We start from the raw sequence: 18899 nt of genomic DNA on the forward strand, positions 1-18899 counted from the left end.
GGTGGCTCACGCCTGTACCCCAGCACTTTAGAAGGCTGACGCAGGTGGATCACCTGAGGTCAGGTGTTCAAGACTAGCCTGGCCAACACAGTGAAACCACGTCTCTACTAAAAATATAAAAAATTAGCCGGGCATGGCGGTGGGTGCCTGTAATCCCAGCTACTCGGGAGGCTGAGGCAGAAGAATTGCTTGAACCCAGGAGGCGAAGGTTGCAGTGAGCCGAGATCACACCACTGCACTCCAGCCTGGGCGACAGAGCAAGACTCCGTCTCTAAAAACAAACAAAAAAACAAACAAAGTTACTTTACTTGTAAAGGTTAAAACAGAGGGGACTTCCTCATCATGCTAGCTAGAAGATGTGGCTATTATCTCTCTCTCCTGTCTCCCCTAAATTCTCAGAGGTCATATAACTTAGTTTCAGCTTGCTGACATGGAACTGTAACATGAGTGACTCCACTGGTCTCTTGGGCCTAGTGCAGGAGCTCGGTCCAAACCAATGGCTTCCTGTAAAATTTATTTAACAAGGCAAATCTACAGAGACAGAAAGCAGATTCATGGTTATGTGGGGCTTCACGGAAAGGAAGGTTGAGTTAGGAATAATGGCTAAGAGATGTAGGGCTTTGTTTTGGAGTGATGAAAATGTTCTAAAATTAATTGTGATGATTGTAGAACTCTGTGAGTACACTGAAAACCACTGAATTATACACTTTAAATGGGTAAATTATGTGGTGTGTGGATGATAACTCAATAAAGCTGTTAAAACAATTAGTTAATTAATAATTCTATTAAACAGTTTACCCTGAACAACTCAGGGCTTAGGGGACTAACCCCCTGTGAGGTAAAAAATCTGAAGATCAATTTTGACTCCCCAAAAACTTAATGACTAATAGCATGCTATTGACCAGAAGCTTTACATAAACAGTAGATGAACACATATATTTTATGATATATGTTTTTGGGGATTTTTTTTTTTTTTGATACAGGATCTTGCCCTGTCACCCAGGGTGGAGTGCAGTGGCACAATCATAGCTCACTCCAGGCTCGACCCCCCTGGTTCAAGCGATCCCCCCTCCTCAGCCTCCCAGGTAGGCAGGACCACAGATAAGGCTCTCACAACCACACCTGGCTAATTTTTGTATTTTTAGTAGAGATGAGGGTTTCACCATGTTACCCAGGGGTGTCTCCAATTCCTAGGCTCAAGCGATCAGCCCACCTTGGCCTCCCAAAGTTCTGGGTTTACAGGCGTGAGCCACCATGCCTGGCTGTGTTATATGTATTATATACTATATTCAAACAATAAAGTGAGCTAGAGAAAAGAAAATGTTATTAAGGAAATCAGAGGAAGTTAGGAGAGGGTTAAAAAAAATAAAATCGCCGGGCACGGTGGCTCATGCCTGTAACCCCAGCACTTTTAGAGGCTGAGGCGGGAGGACCACCTGAGGTCAGGACTTTGAGACCAGCCTGACCAACATAGTGAAACCCCATCTCCACTAAAAATACAAAAGTTAGCTGGGCATGGTGGTGCATGCCTGTAATCCCAGCTACGTGGGATTGTTCAAGGATGAACTGTATAAGTCACAATGGATCTGCTTCTCTGAGCAAACCCTAAAGGATAAAGCATTATTCAGCTTGTTGCAGTCTGCCAATCTAAAAAGGGTAGTTTCCTGTTGCTTTAATTGGAATGTTTCTGGTTACTGATCTTTTGAGCTCCTTATCACATATTTGTTAGTTTTTTGGATTTCCCCTTCTGTAAATTGCCTGCTTTTCTGTAAATTCTTGGTCATTTTTTTCTGTTGGGTTGTTATCTTTTTCTTTTTGATTTGTAGGAGTTCCTTCAATCACCTACCTTTTAATCCCTTGTCAATTTTATTTTTTTATTTTATTTATTAATTTTTTTTGAGACGGAGTCTCACTCTGTCGCCCAGGCTGGAGTGTAGTGGTGCGATCTCAGCTCACCACAACCTCCACCTCCCAGATTCAAGCTATTCTCCTGCCTCAGCATCCCAAGTAGTTGGGATTATAGGCATGCTCCATCACATCTGGCTAATTTTTGTATTTTTAGTACAAAAATACAAAATCTCTTGGCCAGGCCGGTCTCAAACTCCTGACCTCAGGTGATCTGCCTGCCTTGGCCTCCCAAAGTGCTGGGATTACAGGCATGAGCCACCACGCCCAGCCCCTGGTCAATTTTAGACAATGCAAATATCTTCCGCTCGTCCATCATCTCATCTCTCATGATCTTGGCCCTTGGGATCCTTGATGAATAGAAACCCTTAATACTGATGTAATCAAATTAATTTTTTTGACTTATGATTCATCCTTTTGAGATCCCTAAAAGAAGTCATTAATACTTTCCTACATTTTCTTTTATTAACTTTATAGTTTTACCTTTTGCATTTAGTGCTTTACTAGCAGCTGGTCTCCACTTTACATTATTATGTTATAGAGGAGGAGGGGCCTGAAAGCCTCTCAGTGCTCAAGATCTTTGAAGACTTAACTGGGCATTAGCTCAATTAGAGAGGAAGAAAGCAGTAGAGGATGGGGATGGACCACTATCTCCTGGGCCTCGCTTCCCCCAAGAAAATCCATGGACCCACCCACAACCACTACATCTCAGACTATTTCAGCATCTTCCTCCCAGTGGCTTCACACACCTGGGTGAGACCCCCAACATCTACTCAGTTACCAGGTCTGGTATTCCCTGATATCATCCTGATTTTTTGACTGGAAAAAAAGTGTTAATTCATAAGACTTTGGGTTTTTTTGGGGGGGCAGGGGCAGGCGATGGAGTCTCACTTTGTCACCCAGGCTGGAGTGTAGTGGTGTGATCTCAGCTCACTGCAACCTCTGCCTCCTGGGCTCAGGTGATCCTCCCACCTCAGCCTCCTGAGTAGCTGGGACCACAAGCATATGCCACCATGCCCGGTTAATTTTTATAAATTTTTTTTGTAGAAAGGTGGTTTCTCCATGTTACCCAGGCTGGTCTTGAGCTCCTGGGCTCAAGCGATCTGCCTGCCTCAGCTTCCCAAAGTCCTGGGATTACAGGCATGAACCAATGTGCCCAGACCCCCAACACTATTCTAAGCAGTGGGGATTAAGCAGTGAATAAACAATGCCCCAGCATCATGGGATTTGGTGGGGGAGAGAAACAATAAATATGTATCAAGCAATGGCAAATGCTGTGAAGAATAAAGCAACATGAGGCAGAAAGGAAACTCTGAGGGGACCGAGCTCATCTTAGATAGGGTAGTCTCTCTGATATATACACAGAGGGAGGCACTCTGATATATACACAGAGACTGAACTGGGGTAATGGAGCAAATCCGGTCCATGGTAAATCTGGAGAAAGAGACTTTCAGGCTGAGGGAATAGCAAGTGCAAAGGTCCTGAGGTTGGAAATGGCTTGGCTTGATCAAAAACAAGGAGGCCAAGGTGGACAGAGCAGTTATTGATGGAGATAAATAGGGGATAAGATCACAAAAGTAGACGTAGGGTACAGGAGAGCAGACCATGCAGGGTCTTTGGAGCGTAGTGAGGAGTTTTTATGTTATTCTATTTAAAATGGGAAGTGAGCTAAGTGTTACAATTAAAGAAGTAACATATATGTATTTACTGATCAAAAAGATTATCCGGACTTTTGCTTGTCACTATGATGGAGTAGCTAGTAGCTGACTAACTCCCCACCAAAAACTATAAAAGCTGAATACAAGCTAGGCATGATGGTTCACACCTGTAATCCCAACACTTTGGAAGGCTGAGGCAGGTGGATCACCTGAGGTCAGGAGTTCAAGACCAGTCTGGCCAATATGGTGAAACCTTGTCTCTACTAAAAATACAAAAATTAGTTGGGCATGGTGGCAGGCACCTGTAATCCCAGCTACTCGGGAGACTGAGGCATAAGAGTCATTTGAACACGGGAGATGGGGTTTCACCATATTAGCAAGGCTGATCTTGAACTCCTGACCTTGTAATCCACCCGTCTTGGCCTCCCAAAGTGCTGGGATTACAGGCATGAGCCATCGCGCCCAGCCAAGGAAATTAAATTCTTTCCGAGGGAAGATAATACCATCCAGTTTTTATATTTTAATTTAAAAATTACCAGTCTTGCCAGGAAACAAGACCAAATGACAGAAAACCAAGAGAAAAAACATACACTAGAAGTATGTACCCAAAGGTGATCCAGGTATTACAGTTCTCAGATACAGGCTTTCAAATAACTATAATTAATATGTTCCCCAAAAATAGATGAAAAGATGGATAATTTCATCAGAGAACTGGAATCTAAGGAGGAGGGAGAATCCAATATAAATTCTAGAGCTGAAAAATAAATTAATTGAAATAAAAATTCAGTAGATTAGTCCCACATCAGGTTAGACACACTGGAAAACAGATCAATAGAAAATATCTAGATTAAATTACACAGAAATAGGGTAGAAAATACATTAAAAACATATGAGACATATAGGTCATGGTTAAAAGGTCTAATACATACATACTGGAGTCCTAGAAGAGAGGAAAAAGACAATGAGGAGGAAGCAATACTAAAGAACTCCTGGGCAAGAATTTTAAAAAACTGATGAAAGACATCAACTCACAGATCCAAGGTGGGAGGATCGCTTGAGCCTGGGAGGTGGAGGTTGCAGTCAGTCAAGAATGTGCCACTGTACTCCAGCCTGCGTAACAGAGTGAGACCCTGTTTCCAAAAATAAGGCAGAACGTTGATAATTGCTAAAGCTATGTGTTAGGTATATACGGGTTCGTTATGTTTACTTTATGTATGTTTGAGATTTTTTTAATACTGTATAAAGATATTTTTAAGTAACTGACACTAAATACTCCAAATAAAAGGCACAGATTTTCTGATCTACAACTACATGCAACATGGTTGAATCTTATATGACATTTAACAAAAGAACCAGAAACAAAAATGTTTCTGTATGGTTTTATTTATTCTGAATAAAAAAACAAATAAAGCTTATCTATGCCATTAGAAATTGGGGTAGGCCGGGCACAGTGGCTCATGCGTGTAATCCCAGCACTTTTTGGGAGGCTGAGGTGGGCAGATCACCTGAGGTCAGGAGTTCGAGAGCAGCCTGGCCAACATGGTGAAACCTCATCTCTACTAAAAATACAAAAATTAGCCAGATACGGTGGCACATGGCTGTAATCCCAGCTACTCAGAGGCTGAGGCACGAGAATCACTTGAACCCAGGAGGCGGAGTTTGCAGTAAGACAAGATTGCGCCACTGCACTCCAGCCTGGGCCACAGAAGGAGACTTTGTCTCAAAAAAAAAAAAAAAAAAAGAAAGAAAAAGAAAAGAAATTAGGGTAAAAGTTACCCCTAGGAGAGTAGGGACTGGAAGGAGCCATGAGGAAGAATCTTGGAGGCAGGTAGTATGTTGTATCTTGATCTCGGTTTAGATAACACAGATGTGTTCAATTTCTGAAAATTCATAAAGCTTATCACTTATGATCTATGGACTGTTCTATATAAATATTACACTTCACTAAGAGTTTTGGTAAAGTCAAAAATCAGCAGTCAGCATAAAACAAAACCCAACTATATGCTGTTACAAGAGACATGCCTTAAATATAAGCACACAAAAAGATGGAAAGTTACAGGATGAAAAAGATACCCTATATAAACACTAACCAAAGAAAGCTGGAGAAATCTCTACATCAAAGTAGCCATTAAGGCAAAAAGCATTGCTAGAAGTAAAAAATGACATTTCAAGGTAATAAAGGGGTCAAGTCACCAGGAGGATATAACCATTCTAAATCTGTATGCATTTAATAATACAGCTTCAACATATATAAAGCAAAAATGACAGAACTGAGAGATGGAAAAATCCACAGTCATTCAGTACAAGAAGCAAACAGTGAAGATATTAAAGATTTGAACAGCATGATTGACAAACTTGACCTGACATAGCTGACCTGCAGGATACACACTCTGTTCTTTTCTTTTTTTTTTCTTTTTTTTTTTTTTTTGAAACAGAGTTTCACTCTTGTTGCCCATGCTGGAGTCCAGTGGCACAATCTCGGCTCATTGCAACCTCTGCCTCCCAGGTTCAAGCAATTCTCCTGCCTCAGCCTCCTGAGTAGCTGGGAAGACAGGCGTGTACCACCATGCCTGACTAATTTTTTTTTATTTTTAGTAGAGATGGGGTTTCACCATGTTGGCCAGGATGGTCTCAAACTCCCAACCTCAGGTGATCCGCCTGCCTCAGCCTCCCAAAGTGCTGGGATTACAGGCGTGAGCCACCACACCTGGCCTTTTTTTTTTCTTTTTTTTTTTTTGAGATGAAGTCTCGCTCTGTCTGGCCCAGGCTGTAGTGCAGTGGCGCGATCTCAGCTCACTGTACCCTCCACCTCCTGGGTTCAAGCAATTCTCCTGCCTCAGCCTCCTGAGTAGCTGGGATTACAGGCACATGCCACCACATCTGGCTAATTTTGTATTTTTAGTATAAACGGGCTTTCACCATGTTGGCCAGGCTGGTCTTGAACTCCTGACCTCAGGTGATCCACCCAACTTGGCCTTCCAAAGTGCTGGGATTACAGGTATGAGCCACCACGCCAAGCTACTCTTTTCAAATACACATGAAGCATTTGCTAAAATAGATGAAATCGTGGACTATAAAGCAAATCTCAACAAATGTCAAAGAAATGAAATCATATAGAGTATGTTTGTATGTTTTCTGACTACAGTGAATTAAGTAGGAAGCAATAATAAAAAGATAGCAGGGGGCCGGGCGCAGTGGCTCACGCCTGTAATCTCAGCACTTTGGGAGGCTGAGGCAGAGGAATCACAAGGTCAAGAGATCGAGATCATCCTGGCCAACATGGTGAAACCCCGTCTCTACTAAAAATACAAAAAAAAAAAAAAAGTTGGCTGTGGTGGTGCGTGCCTGTAGTCCCATCTACTCAGGAGGCTGAGGCAGGAGAATCACTTGAATCCAGGAGGCAGAGGTTGTAGTGAGCCCAGATCACGCCACTGCACCCAACCTGGCGACAAAGCGAGACTCCGTCTCAAAAATAAATAAATAATAAAAAGATAGCAGGGAAGTCATAAAATATTTGGAAAGTAAGCAATATATCTCTAAAAATTATCACTCAGGTCAAATTAGAAAATATTTTGAATTGATAATAATGGAAACGTGGCCAGGCATGGTGGCTCATGCCAATAATCCCAGCACTCTGGGAGGCTGAGGCAGGCAGATCACTTGAGGTCGGGAGTTCGAGACCAGCCTAGCCAACATGGAGAAACCCCCATCTCTACTAAAGATACAAAAATTAGCCAGGTGTGGTGGTGCATGCCTGTAATCCCAGCTACTCGGGAGGCTGAGGCAGGAGAATCATTTGAACCCAGGAGGCAGAGATTGCAGCGAGCCAAGATTGTGCCATTGCACTCCAGCCTGGGTGACAGATCGAGACTCTGTCTCAAAAAATAATAATAATAATAGAAATGTGGCATAACAAATGTGTCAAGTGTAGCTACAGAAGTTTTTAGAAGGCAAATGATGGCTCTAAACGCATGTATTAGAAGAGATCTTTAAAAATCAAATGACCTGGCTGGGCACATGACCTGGCATCAGCACGGTGGCTCACGCCTCTAATCCCAGCACTTTAGGAGGCCAAGGCAGGCGGCTCACCCGAGGTCAGGAGTTCAAGACCAGTCTGGCCAACATGGTGAAACCCCGACTCTACTAAAAATACAAAAAATTAGCCAGGCATGGTGGGGCACGCCTGTAATCCCAGCTACTCAGTAGGTTGAGGCAGGAGAATCGCTTGAACTCGGGAGGCACAGGTTGCAGTGAGCCAAGACCGCACCACTGCACTCCAGCCTGGGTGACAGTGAAACTCCGTCTCAAAAAAAAAATCAATGGCTTAATAACCTAAAAATATCAGTGACCTAAGCATTCACCTCAAGAAGTTGGGGGGAAAAAGCTGGAAAAAGAACAGCAGATCATGCCGGGCGCGGTGGCTCACGCCTGTAATCCCAGCACTTTGGGAGGCCGAGGCGGGCGGATCACGAGGTCAGGAGATCGAGACCATCCTGGCTAACACGGTGAAACCCCGTCTCTACTAAAAATACAAAAAATTAGCCGGGCGTGGTAGCGGGTGCCTGTAGTCCCAGCTACTCGGGAGGCTGAGGCAGGAGAATGGCGTGAACCCGGGAGGCGGAGCTTGCAGTGAGCCGAGATCGCCCCACTGCACTCCAGCCTGGGCGACAGAGCGAGACTCCGTCTCAAAAAAAAAAAACAAAAAAACAAAAAAAAAAACAGCAAGATCAGGGGCTTGAGGGCACATGGCTGTAGTCCCACCTACTCAGGAGGCTGAGGTGGGAGGATTACTTGAGCCCAGGAGGTGGAGGCTGCAGTGAGCTAGGGTCACATTACTGCACTCTATCCTGGGTGAGAACCTGTCTCAGAAAGAGAGGAGGGGGGAGGGGAGGGGAGGAAGGGGAGGGAGGAGGGGAGGCAGTGGACGCGGAGGGGAAGGGAGGGGAAGGGAGGGGAAGGGAGGGGAAGGGAGGGGGAAGGGAGGGGAAGGGAGGGGAGATAAAGGGAGGGGGAGGGGAAGGGAGGTGGGAGGGGAGATGAGGGGAGGAAAGTGGGGGGAGGAGAGGAGCAGAGGGGAAGAGAGGGGGAGGGGAGGGGAAGGTACGGGGGAGGGGAGATGAGGGGAGGGGAGTGGGGGAAGGGGAGGACAGGAGCAGAAGGGAAGGGAGGCGGGAGGGGAGGGGAAGGTACGGGGGAGGGGAGATGAGGGGAGGGGAGTGGGGGAAGGGGAGGAGAGGAGCAGAGGGGAAGGGAGGGGGGAAAAGAGAGATGGCACAAATTATTAATATCCGTCACCACAGATCTTACAGATATTAAAAAGATTGGGCATGGTGGCTCATGCCAGTAACCCCAGCACTTTGGGAGGCCAAGGTAGGAGGATCATTTGAGGGCAGGAGTTCGAGACCAGCCTAACATAAGACCGTGTTTCTCCCCCTCCAAAAAAAGACAATATTATGAACTTTATGCAAATTATTTGAAATTTTAGATAAAATGGAAAAATTCCTTGAAAACCACAACTTACCAAAACCACAACTTACCAGAAATAAAATAGAACATCTGAATAGTTGTATTTTTATAAAAGAAATAGAATTTGTAATTTAAAGTCTTTCCACAAAGAAAACTCTAGGTCCAGATGGCTGGTGACTTCTTCCAAACACATAAAAAATAAATAACATCAATCCTACACTAGCACTTTCAAAGAATAGAAAAAGAGAGAACACTTCTCCACACATTATATCAGCATAGCCTTGTTAACAAAACTCAACAGGGATCTCACAGAAAAGAAAAGAAAAGAAAATATGGCAATACATAAAAAGGACAGGCCAGGCGCTGTGTCTCACGCCTGTAATCCCAGCACTTTGGGAGGCCGAGGCGGGTGGATCGCCTGAGGTTGGGAGTTCGGTACCGGCCTGGCCAACGTGGTGAAACCCCGTCTCTACTAAAAATACAAAAATTAGCCAGGTGTGGTGGCGGGCGCATGTAATCCCAGCTACTCGGGAGGCTGAGGCAGGAGAATTGCTTGAACCCGGGAGGCGGAGGTTGCAGTGAGCTAAAATTGTCCCACTGCACTCCAGCCTGGGCGACAGAGCGAGACTCCATCTCAAAAAAAAAAAAAAAAGAAAGAAATGGGGGACGGACAAGGAGTCTCTCAGTTCAATTCCCCCTTCCTCAGCCCATTTCACCAAAGCCTGAAGCGGAAGAGAAAAACACGAGCCCCAGCATGGCGGGCGCAGCCACCCCCTCCTTCCACCACCAGACAAACTCCGTGGCCACAGCCCACACCGCCAGCGCGCATGCGTGACACGCGTCGGCCGCCGGTTTGCACCTGCGTCTTAAGAGGAGTCCGGGCGGGGAGGGGCGGGGCTCAGACGCTGCGCACGCGCACTCGCGACCCCTCGCCTCCTTTTGCTTTTTCTGGCGGGAAAAGCTCACGCGCACCTCCCCCAACTCAACTGCCGTTCGTCGTTCGTGGATGTCCGTTGTGTCCCGAGACTAGGACGTGGCTCCAGGTGCGCCCTGCCCCGCGGCGAGGTTCCCAGAATGGCCCTTCCCAGCCCCTACCGAAATCCTAGCGAAGCCCCCCCATATTGTGGGAGAGATACCCCTGCGTCAGGGCCCCCCAGATCCTGACCACTTGGGAGGCCGAGGCGGGCGGATCACGAGGTCAGAAGATAGAGACCATCCCGGGGAAGTGAAACCCCGTCTCTACTAAAAATACAAAAAATTAGCCAGGCGTAGTGGCACGCGCCTATAATCCCAGCTACTCAGGAGGCTGGGGCAGGAGAACTGCTTGAACCTGGAAGGCAGAGGTTGCAGTGAGCTGAGATCGCGCCACTGCACTCCAGCCTGGGTGACAAGAGTGAGACTCCGTCTCAAAAAAAAAAAAAAAAATCCTGACCACATCCCCTCAGATATACTGAAAGGAGTCCACCAGGAAATCTTATAGTTGACCCCCGAAATCCTGTCAGAATCGTCTAGAAATTGTCAGACTTCTCCCTCAGAGCCTGCCAGAAACTTTCCCCAAAATCCTATTACTCTCCCCAGATCAGCAGAGCCACCTAGACTCGTGTCAGAGATCCCCAGAAATCCTGGCAGGTCCCCTCCCAAACCCAGTCGGACCTCAGATTCCGTCAGAGAGCACAGAAGTCCATCAAAGACACCCCAGAAACGGAGACCCCGAAATGCACTCAGAGACCCCCGCAGAAATCAAGACCCTCCAAATCCAGCCAGAGACCCCCAGAAATCCAGTCAGACCCCTGCAGAAATCAAGACCCCCAAAATCCAGCCAGAGACCCCCAGAAATCCAGAGACCCCCGCATAAATCAAGACCCCCAAAATCCAGAGACCCCGAATAAATCAAGACCCCCAAAATCCAGTCAGAGAACCCCCAGAAATCCAATCAGACCCCCGCAGAAATCAAGACCCCCGAAATCCAGCCAGAGACCCCTGAAATCCAGTCAGAGACCCCCACAGAAATCAAAATCTCCAAAATCCAGCCAGACACTCCCCAGAAATCCAGTCAGAGACCCCCCCAAAATCCTGTCAGAGCCCTTGAAAGCCCGCCAAGGCCCACACCACCCAGAGCTCCTGCCAGGGCCCCATCCTGCTTCAGTGTCCCCGTCTCAGTCCCGTCAGACCCCCGAGATCAACCAACACCCCCGGGGTCCCTCAGGACTCCATCCCGAACCCACTCCGTGCGCCAGGGCCCAGCCAAGGCCATCGCCCCCCTTTGCACCCTGCAGGGTGTTCCAGACCCTGGAAGGGCCTCTCTTCAAAGACCCGTGTTTCCAGAACGGTGGCAGCGGGCTCACGTGGCTTGGGGAGAGCAGGCACTGGGGGAGCTGGGTGAGGACAGGCGAGCCCAGGCTCGACTGGTGGCCCCAAGGGGCGCCCGTGCCCGCTGTGATGATAGCAGCGCCCAGGTCTCTCTCTAGCCCCCAGAGTGCGGCCACTAAGGTTTTGGGTCGGCCTGGGTGGAATGGAGGCAGGATGGGGCCCCCCAAACTCCTGTCACTGCTGCAGGGACTGCCCAGAGCAGCTGCAAGTGGGGCTGGCAGGGATGAGGAGGAGGTGGCCTGGGCTTGGGGGACCATGTACATCCTGAGTTGGAACCCAGGGGAGCAGCAGGTTTGGGGCCATGATGAGGAGAGACCTAGGGGTTGCCCGACGGAGAGAAAAGGGACAGGAAGAGGCAGGAGCTTCAGAGACTACTCAATGCCACTCTAGCCTGAGGGACTGGAACTTAGTCCGGGGGCATTAGGGAGCCATGGGAGGATCAGGAGCAGGGGCAAGTCAGGATCAAACTCCCATGAGAAGCCAGCCGGCCAAATCCAGGCTGATGTGGCAAGAATGGCAGCTGCCCAGGGCTGTGTGGGAGCCAGACACGGCCCCTCGCTTCCCGGAAGAGGCCACGTGAAGCCGAAGCAGGATGCAGGAGGGCGTCCCAGGCAGAGACCTGGGCATGGGAGCGGTCCGCAGCTCAGAGTGGCTGGAGCATCATGTGCGATTTGGGGTGCTGAGGTGGGCGGTCAGCCATGCAGGGCCTTGGCGTCAGGGCCAGGGTCTCACCCGTACCCAGGATTCAGGGAGCCATGGAAGGGTACTTAGCAGGGGAGGGGCAGGTCAGCTCTGGGGCCCTGTGGGGACAGACTGGAGGACAAGCCTGGGGATAGGAGGCTGGGACAAAGGCCAGGGAAGAGGACCAGGCAGCCTGGACCGGCGGCAAGCCATGTGAAGAAAGGGAGGCAGTGACCTCCCCCACCCACCCACTAGCCCCTTTGATGTCAGCCACCTCGTTCTCCAGCCCACACCTCCAATCCATAAAACAGGTCAGAGCGGAGCTGCTCAGGTCACAGCGGGGGTGACAAACAGGTTGTGAGGACCCAGAGGTCCTGGGGCACAGGTGGGGCTAGGCAGGCCCCGACCCTTGGTGGCTGCTCTGAGGACACCATTTCCTGCTTCTCCTTCCAGGAGTGCTCGGGCCAGCTGGTCCTTTTCCCATCCCTCCCCATGAAGGAGGGAGGCTGGTAGCTTTGCCAGCAGCTGCGCCGCGGCAGGGGTGGCCCATGGACCTGCCCGAGGGCCCGGTGGGTGGCCCCACTGCGGAAAGTAAGTGGCTGGAACCCTATTTGCCCCGGGGAGGGTGAGGAGGGAGCCATGGGTGAATGGGTGCCAGGCTGTGACTCGGGGACTTGGGAGAGGTGGCTGGGGGTGGCTGAGCCTTTGCATGGGTGCAGAGTGGAAGGGAGGGAAGGGACTCTGGTAGATTAAGTGCCTACTCTATGCCCGCCCACCTGTCACTACCCCTTATCTCCTGTGGGGAGGCTGGACTGTGTGAGAGCGCAAGCAGCCGCACCCCTTACTCCATTCAGATCGCGGCCCAGATGGCACTTCTTACTTTATGTAAAGCAGCTGCCCTGTGACACTCTCTCCCCTGCCCCGCTTCATTTCTCTTCACAGTGCTCACATCTGTATGTCATGTTTTGTCTCTGTCTCCCCTGCTAGAGCATGAGCTCCACAAGGCAGCGTCTGTTTTATTCACTCTGGTATTCCCAGTCCCTAGAGCAGCGCTGTCCTGTGGAAGTATAATATGAGCCACATAGGTAATTTATTATTTTTTAAAAGAAAAAAGGAACAGGTGAAATGAATGTTGATAATGGATTTTCCTTATATAGCCAGACTAATACCCTGTATATTATATATGTATACAGGATATACATACATAGAGATATATATATGTATATAGCCAATATATAGCCAATATAAAAAATGTATCCAGATAATCTGTTTTTTTCATACTAAGCCCTAAAGATCTAGCGTGTACTTTACACTAACAGAGCATTTCAGTCTACACTCGCCTCAGTTCAGGTGCTCCAGAAGGAGAGACTGCCCTGTTGGCTGGGACCCCAGAGCAACTCCTGACTCACTGTGGGAGCTCACTTACTGTTGAGTGAACGGACGGATGTAGGTTGAACGGGTGTGAAAGCTGGCTTCAGAGGGTGGGGAGGAGGCACTGGGGTTGCCTCTCTGAAACTCATCTGCCAAGTGAGAGAGCCCAGTCTGATGGGGATGGTAGGGCCCCTTTCTTAGAGGCTCCCAGGCATCCACGGCACAGCCTGCGTCTTTTTCTACAAAGCCCCAGACCTCAGGAGGCTTTCCAGATAGGAGGGTCAGAGGTAGACACCAGGGTGTGGGAACCAGAGGACAGGCTGTCTAGTGACAGCCATCTAAACTTCACCTGCACCAGCAGAGGGCGTGCAGCCACCAGGATCCGGGTGGCAAGGGCTGAGACAGCTTCGAGAGGCTCTGGAAGGAAAGGTAGGAACACACCCAGAAGGAGAGATGGAGACAGAGGAAGGCAAAGGGAAAAAGAAACAGCAGAGGAAGGAAAGAGAAGACTTAGGGAATGGAGAGTCTCTGAGATATGGGAAGGGAAGCACAGAGACTGAGATACAGGGAAGAAAACGGGGACAAGCGACATGGAGGCAGAGAGACAGGACGTGGGGAAGAGAGACTGGGAGAAAGATAGAGAGAAAGAGCCAAAGAGAAATGTAACGAAGAGGCAAGGACAGAGACATAGAGGAGATAGAGACACTGAGGAAGGAGATCTTCCTGAGGAACAGAAATGACATCTCCCTGGGGGAATCCTGGGATGCGACTTCAGACACATGCTGATCCTCAGAGCCAGCACGACCTGATGCCAGTCCTGAGTTCTATTCCCAGCTTAGCTCTCTCTGGCAAGCAGCCCTGGGTGAACCATCTCATTGGGCCTCAGGGTCCTCGTTCATGTAACATGAGAAAGACACTGAGAGGGCTGGGTATGGTGGCTCACACCTGTAATCCCAGCACTTTGCGAGGCCAAGGTGGGCGGATCACTTGAGGTCAGGAGTTCGAGACCAGCCTTGCCAACAGGGTGAAACCCCATCTCTACTAAAAATACAAAAATTAGCTGGGCCTGGTAGCAGGCACCTGTAATCCCAGCTACTCGGGAGGCTGACGCAGGAGAATTGCTTGAACCTTGGAGGCAGAAGTTGCAGTGAGCGGAGATCACGCTACTGCACTCCAGCCTGGGTGACACAGCGAGACTCCATCTCAAAAAAAAAAAAAACAGTGAGAGGAGGAAAACAGACTGGGGCTAAAGCCCTGGTCTCCCCCTAACTGTGAGTCCACACGCCCCTTCCCAAGGGCCAAACCTAGGAGCATAGGTTCAAGACAGAGGGGGTGCAAATTTCACTCACTGCAGAGAATCCTGGAAGAGTTAGAGGGATGAGAAAGTTGACTCATATGTTAAACAGGGTGACCTTTGGCGAGTTCTTAGTTTCTCTATGCCTTAGTCCCCTCATTTGTAAAGTAGGGATTATAATAGCATCGATTATTATTATGCTAGTAGACAGTTCATGTAAAGTGCTCAGAAAAGGCCTGGCACCTACTAAATGCTCAATAAGTGTTCAATTCTATTCTTGAGTCCCCACCACGTGCCAGGCCTTCTGCCAAAGCCTTTCTAGATTGTATCTCATTTTCTCTCTAGGAAAGAGGTAACACCAACCCCATTTTCCAGAGGAAGAAACTGAGGCCCAAGAGAAGTTGAGTCCATTGCCCCAGGTGCCACCACTTGTCTGAGGCCAAGCCTCGGTTGCCCCCTGGATCTACCCCGTCCTGCAGCCTGTGCTCAGTGAGCTGCTGCACCCAGCTGTTCAAGGCCAGGGCAGGGAGCCTAGAAGTTCACTTCCAGCCCTGGGAGAGAGGCTGGGCCAGCCCAGTGGCTCCTGCAGTTGAGGATCTCTTCCTATGTCATGGAGCATTTGTTGAGCACCTGCCATCTGCAGGTGTTGTGGCTACAACAGTAGACAAATAGACCCCAGGACGTGTGTGTGTGTGTGTGTGTGTGTGTGTGTGTGTGTGTACATGCGTGTGCTTCACATACACAGAGCTAACTCAGCCCTGGTGAGGAGGATCACTCTACCCACCCCCCCAGTAGGGAAACCGAGGCTCTAACAGAAGAGACTTGCCCACAGATGTGCAGCTGGACTCTGCACCCAGGTCTGACACACTGATCCAGCTCATAACCATTCCCTCACTGCCCACCCTGTCTGGTTTACCCTATCCCTTCATGTCTCAGCCCCTGGCCATGGGCTCCAATGATGCCACCCTTGCCTTAGGGATGCAGGGAGGAGAGAGACCTGGTCCCCAGGGTGGGCTGGGAGACCGGAGATGCAGCAGGCGGGATCGATCTGGGCTGCCCATGCATTATTGGATTGTTCCTGGCTCCTGGGCCCCCCCTTCACTCTCAGCTCCTCCCAGAATCCTCTCTTCTTTGCCCTCCCCGACCCTGTCCCTCTCTGAGTCCAGCCTGGGAGGCTGGAGAGGAGAGGAGGAAAGGGTGATCTCAGAGCGTTCTTCTCTGGGCTCCTAAGCCAATTGGACACAAAAAGACAGCAGGGGGGACTTCCTGGTTTGAAAGATGGGGGGAAGTAACTCAGAGACCCTCACATTGTTGCCCCCTCCTGAAGCTTCCTGCTGTTCCCCACCCGCCCGAACTCTCAGTGCTCTGAGTGAATTCCCTCCCCGCTACAGAGCCCAGGAGGCTGAGGACCTGGGGTCACCCCTCTTCCTTCCTTATTCTTCCCACTGGTGAGCTGAGCCCTCTTGTCTCCCCAGTGTACCTCCGGGAGCGGCCTGAGGAGGCAAGGCTGGGAATGCCGGTCAGCTTGGAGGAGCAAATACTCAACTCCACGTTCGAAGCTTGTGACCCTCAGAGGACAGGTGGTGGGGGCATGAGGGGTGCTGGGGACCAGTGCGGGCAGGATGGGGTGGAGGCTGGGAACTGGGGAGCCTCAGAGAGAAGACTGGGCTAAGGCCCCCTCTTGGGGGTATTGTAAGAACAAAGTGGGTGATTATGGGAAGCTTCAGGAAGAAGAACGTGGATAATGGGGTGAAGGCCTTTTAGAATGAGGAAAACTTGGGGGACGTTGATGGAAGAGGGCAGAGTTTTGGGGTCGTGGGATAGGGGAGGGAGGCAGCCACCATGGTGGCGTGGGGCATGGCTGATGCTGTCCCTATGTCCATCCCCTTTGGTTTACCCTGTGATGGGGGGATGACTGGGCCCCATTTCCAGGTGAAAAAGTGGACTCAGAGGAGGGGAAAGGGCTTGCCCAGTGTGTCTCCACTGGGCCATGGAGCAGGAGTGCCACCAGCCTAGCCAGTGACATCCTGGTCCCAAGCTGCTGCCAGTCCATACCCATCACTCCCCACCTGCCCCAGACCCCCTCACTGCATGCTCTGTCACAGGCACTGTGGCTGTGGCCCAGGTGCTGGCCTACCTGGAGGCTGTGACAGGCCAGGGCCCCCAGGATGCACGCCTCCAAACATTGGCCAACAGCCTGGACCCCAATGGGGAGGGCCCTAAGGCCACTGTGGACTTGGACACTTTCCTGGTTGTCATGCGTGACTGGATTGCTGCCTGTCAACTACATGGGTGAGTCCCCACATCTTCATCCTCCTCTGGGAAGTCCTTCCTAAGATCTAACCTCATACCTGCTTACTGGAGCCAGCATCCTTTAGGCCCAAGGACCTACTGTGTTTGGAATGAGGCTGTGGAGAGAAAAATGAAGAGACGGGATTCAGAGGGGGTAGATAGGGAGTCTGAGGACAAAATAATTTGGATGAGGAAGCAGAGGGGGTCTGGGAGACAGAAATAAAATGGGGCTGGAGAAGGGAGGAGTTTGGGGCTGACAGAGGTCCCTCCCCAACCCTTCACCAAACCCACTCCTTGCCCCTCCTGCTTTTCCATCTGGCCACGGGCACTTGCCATCTGGCCTCACCCTCCTACCCTGTGGTGCCAGCTCTCACCTGACCCGGTCCCCTCCTCCCACCTGCAATCCCCCTGCCTGTGGCTGGTGAGGACTGAGGGGCAGCTACAGTGGGGCGCTAAGCCTCATCCCTTTGATACAGGGGATTAGAGCTGGAAGAGGAGACCGCCTTCCAGGGAGCCCTGACCTCCCGGCAACTGCCATCTGGTGAGATTGCTATATATAGAATGAAGCAGGCAGGCCCTGGGTCAGACAGTGTGGGGACTTACCACCCAGGGCAGAGCAAGGGATAGGGTAGGAACCAGGGACCTTTACTGTAGACTAGAGCTGTGAGTGTGGCTTTCTAGGTCCTCCGTCCCTTCCTTCCGTGAGCTTTGGGTTTCTTTTCTTCAGAGGGTGGTTTCCAACTCGTTCTCCTCACACCAGCCCTATTAGAGAGGCCTACGAGGCCCCGCCTACCTCTGCTCCATCATTAACATCACCTCTCCTCACTCTAGTCCAGGAATTCACAGGCCCACTGGTCTTGCTGCCCTTCCTCGAATGTGCCCCACTTCTGCCCAGCACAGGTCCTTGCTCAGGCTGTTCCCCTCCACTCCTTGCTCCCCACCCTGCTGGACTTTTTTTTTTTTTTTTTTTTTTTTTTTGAGATAAGAGTTTCACTCCTGTTGCCCAGGCTGTTGTGCAATGGCGCAATCTCAGCTCACCGCCACCCCCGCCTCCTGGGTTCAAGCAGTTCTTCTGCCTCAGCCTTCCGCATAGCTGGGATTACAGGCATGCACCACCACGCCCAGCTAATTTTGTATTTTTCATAGAGACGAGGTTTCTCCATGTTGGTCAGGCTGGTCTCGAACTCCCGACCTCAGGTGATCCAACTGCCTTGGCCTCCCAAAGTGCTGGGATTACAGGCGTGAGCCACTGCGCCAAGCCGTCATCCACTCCTCTGGCAAAGGGGAAGCCCTGGTATGCCCCTGGCTAGAGTTCCTTGCTCCCCATGCTCACTCCTAGACTTGTAGGCCTTTCCATTGGAACATCCACCTGCAGAGGAAATCTGATTATCTAGTTAGCCACTGGCACCTGGGTTTAGTTGGCTGGTTTGCTCACCATTGTATCCCCAGGACCTCACACATAGGAGGTGCTCCATAAAAAAAGTGGTCATGATTACAGGCGTGAGCCTGTAATCCCAGCATTTTAGAAGGCCAAAGTGGAAAGAACATTTGAGCCCAGTAGTTTGAGACCAGCCTGGGCAACATAGTGAGACACCATCTCTACTAAAAATAAAAAATTAGCTGAGTGCGGTGGCATGTACCTGTGGTCCTAGCCGGGACACTGAGTCAGGAGGATCGCTTGAGCCTGAAAGGTCAAAGCTGCAGTGAGCCATGCATTGCACCACTGCACTCCAGCCTGGGCAATAGAGCAGGATCCTGTCTTTTAAAAAAAAAAAAAAAAAATGGTGGTCATGTTCCATTTCTCTAGCCATACAAAAAACGGTGGGGAAGGAAGTTCTCTTCAACCTCCTTCATCAGGCTTG

At 50.0% G+C, this 18899-nt stretch overlaps 1 protein-coding gene and 1 long non-coding RNA gene across 10 annotated transcripts in view; one reads left to right on the forward strand and one right to left on the reverse strand.

The window, feature by feature from the left end:
• Window positions 1–9826, reverse strand: part of LOC101928295 (uncharacterized) — a 19377-nt gene extending 9551 nt beyond the window's left edge. Inside the window, exons 1-2 of the long non-coding RNA NR_110729.1 lie at window positions 9101–9826; window positions 4596–4693 (exon numbers count right to left, since the gene is read on the reverse strand). This is a non-coding gene — a long non-coding RNA (uncharacterized LOC101928295). The remainder of the gene's footprint in view (window positions 1–4595; window positions 4694–9100) is intronic.
• A 167-nt stretch (window positions 9827–9993) lies between these two features.
• The window catches only part of KASH5 (KASH domain containing 5), a 29742-nt gene continuing 20836 nt past the window's right edge, over window positions 9994–18899 (forward strand). For 4 of the 9 annotated variants that reach the window (XM_011526488.3, NM_144688.5, XM_005258549.4 and 1 more), the window contains exons 1-5: window positions 9994–10072; window positions 12534–12671; window positions 16221–16325; window positions 16851–17037; window positions 17514–17578. In XM_011526488.3, coding sequence (XP_011524790.1) covers window positions 12629–12671; window positions 16221–16325; window positions 16851–17037; window positions 17514–17578 — 400 coding nt within the window. In that variant the 5' untranslated portion in view covers window positions 9994–10072; window positions 12534–12628. Of the gene's footprint in view, window positions 12084–12322; window positions 12392–12533; window positions 12672–15090; window positions 15165–15221; window positions 15603–16220; window positions 16326–16850; window positions 17038–17513; window positions 17579–18899 lie in introns of those variants that run through there. The other 5 variants (XM_011526495.3, XM_011526494.3, XM_011526489.4 and 2 more) reach the window with 5 other exon arrangements.

Source organism: Homo sapiens, chromosome 19 (genome assembly GCF_000001405.40).
Source record: "Homo sapiens chromosome 19, GRCh38.p14 Primary Assembly".
NCBI lineage: Eukaryota > Metazoa > Chordata > Mammalia > Primates > Hominidae > Homo > Homo sapiens.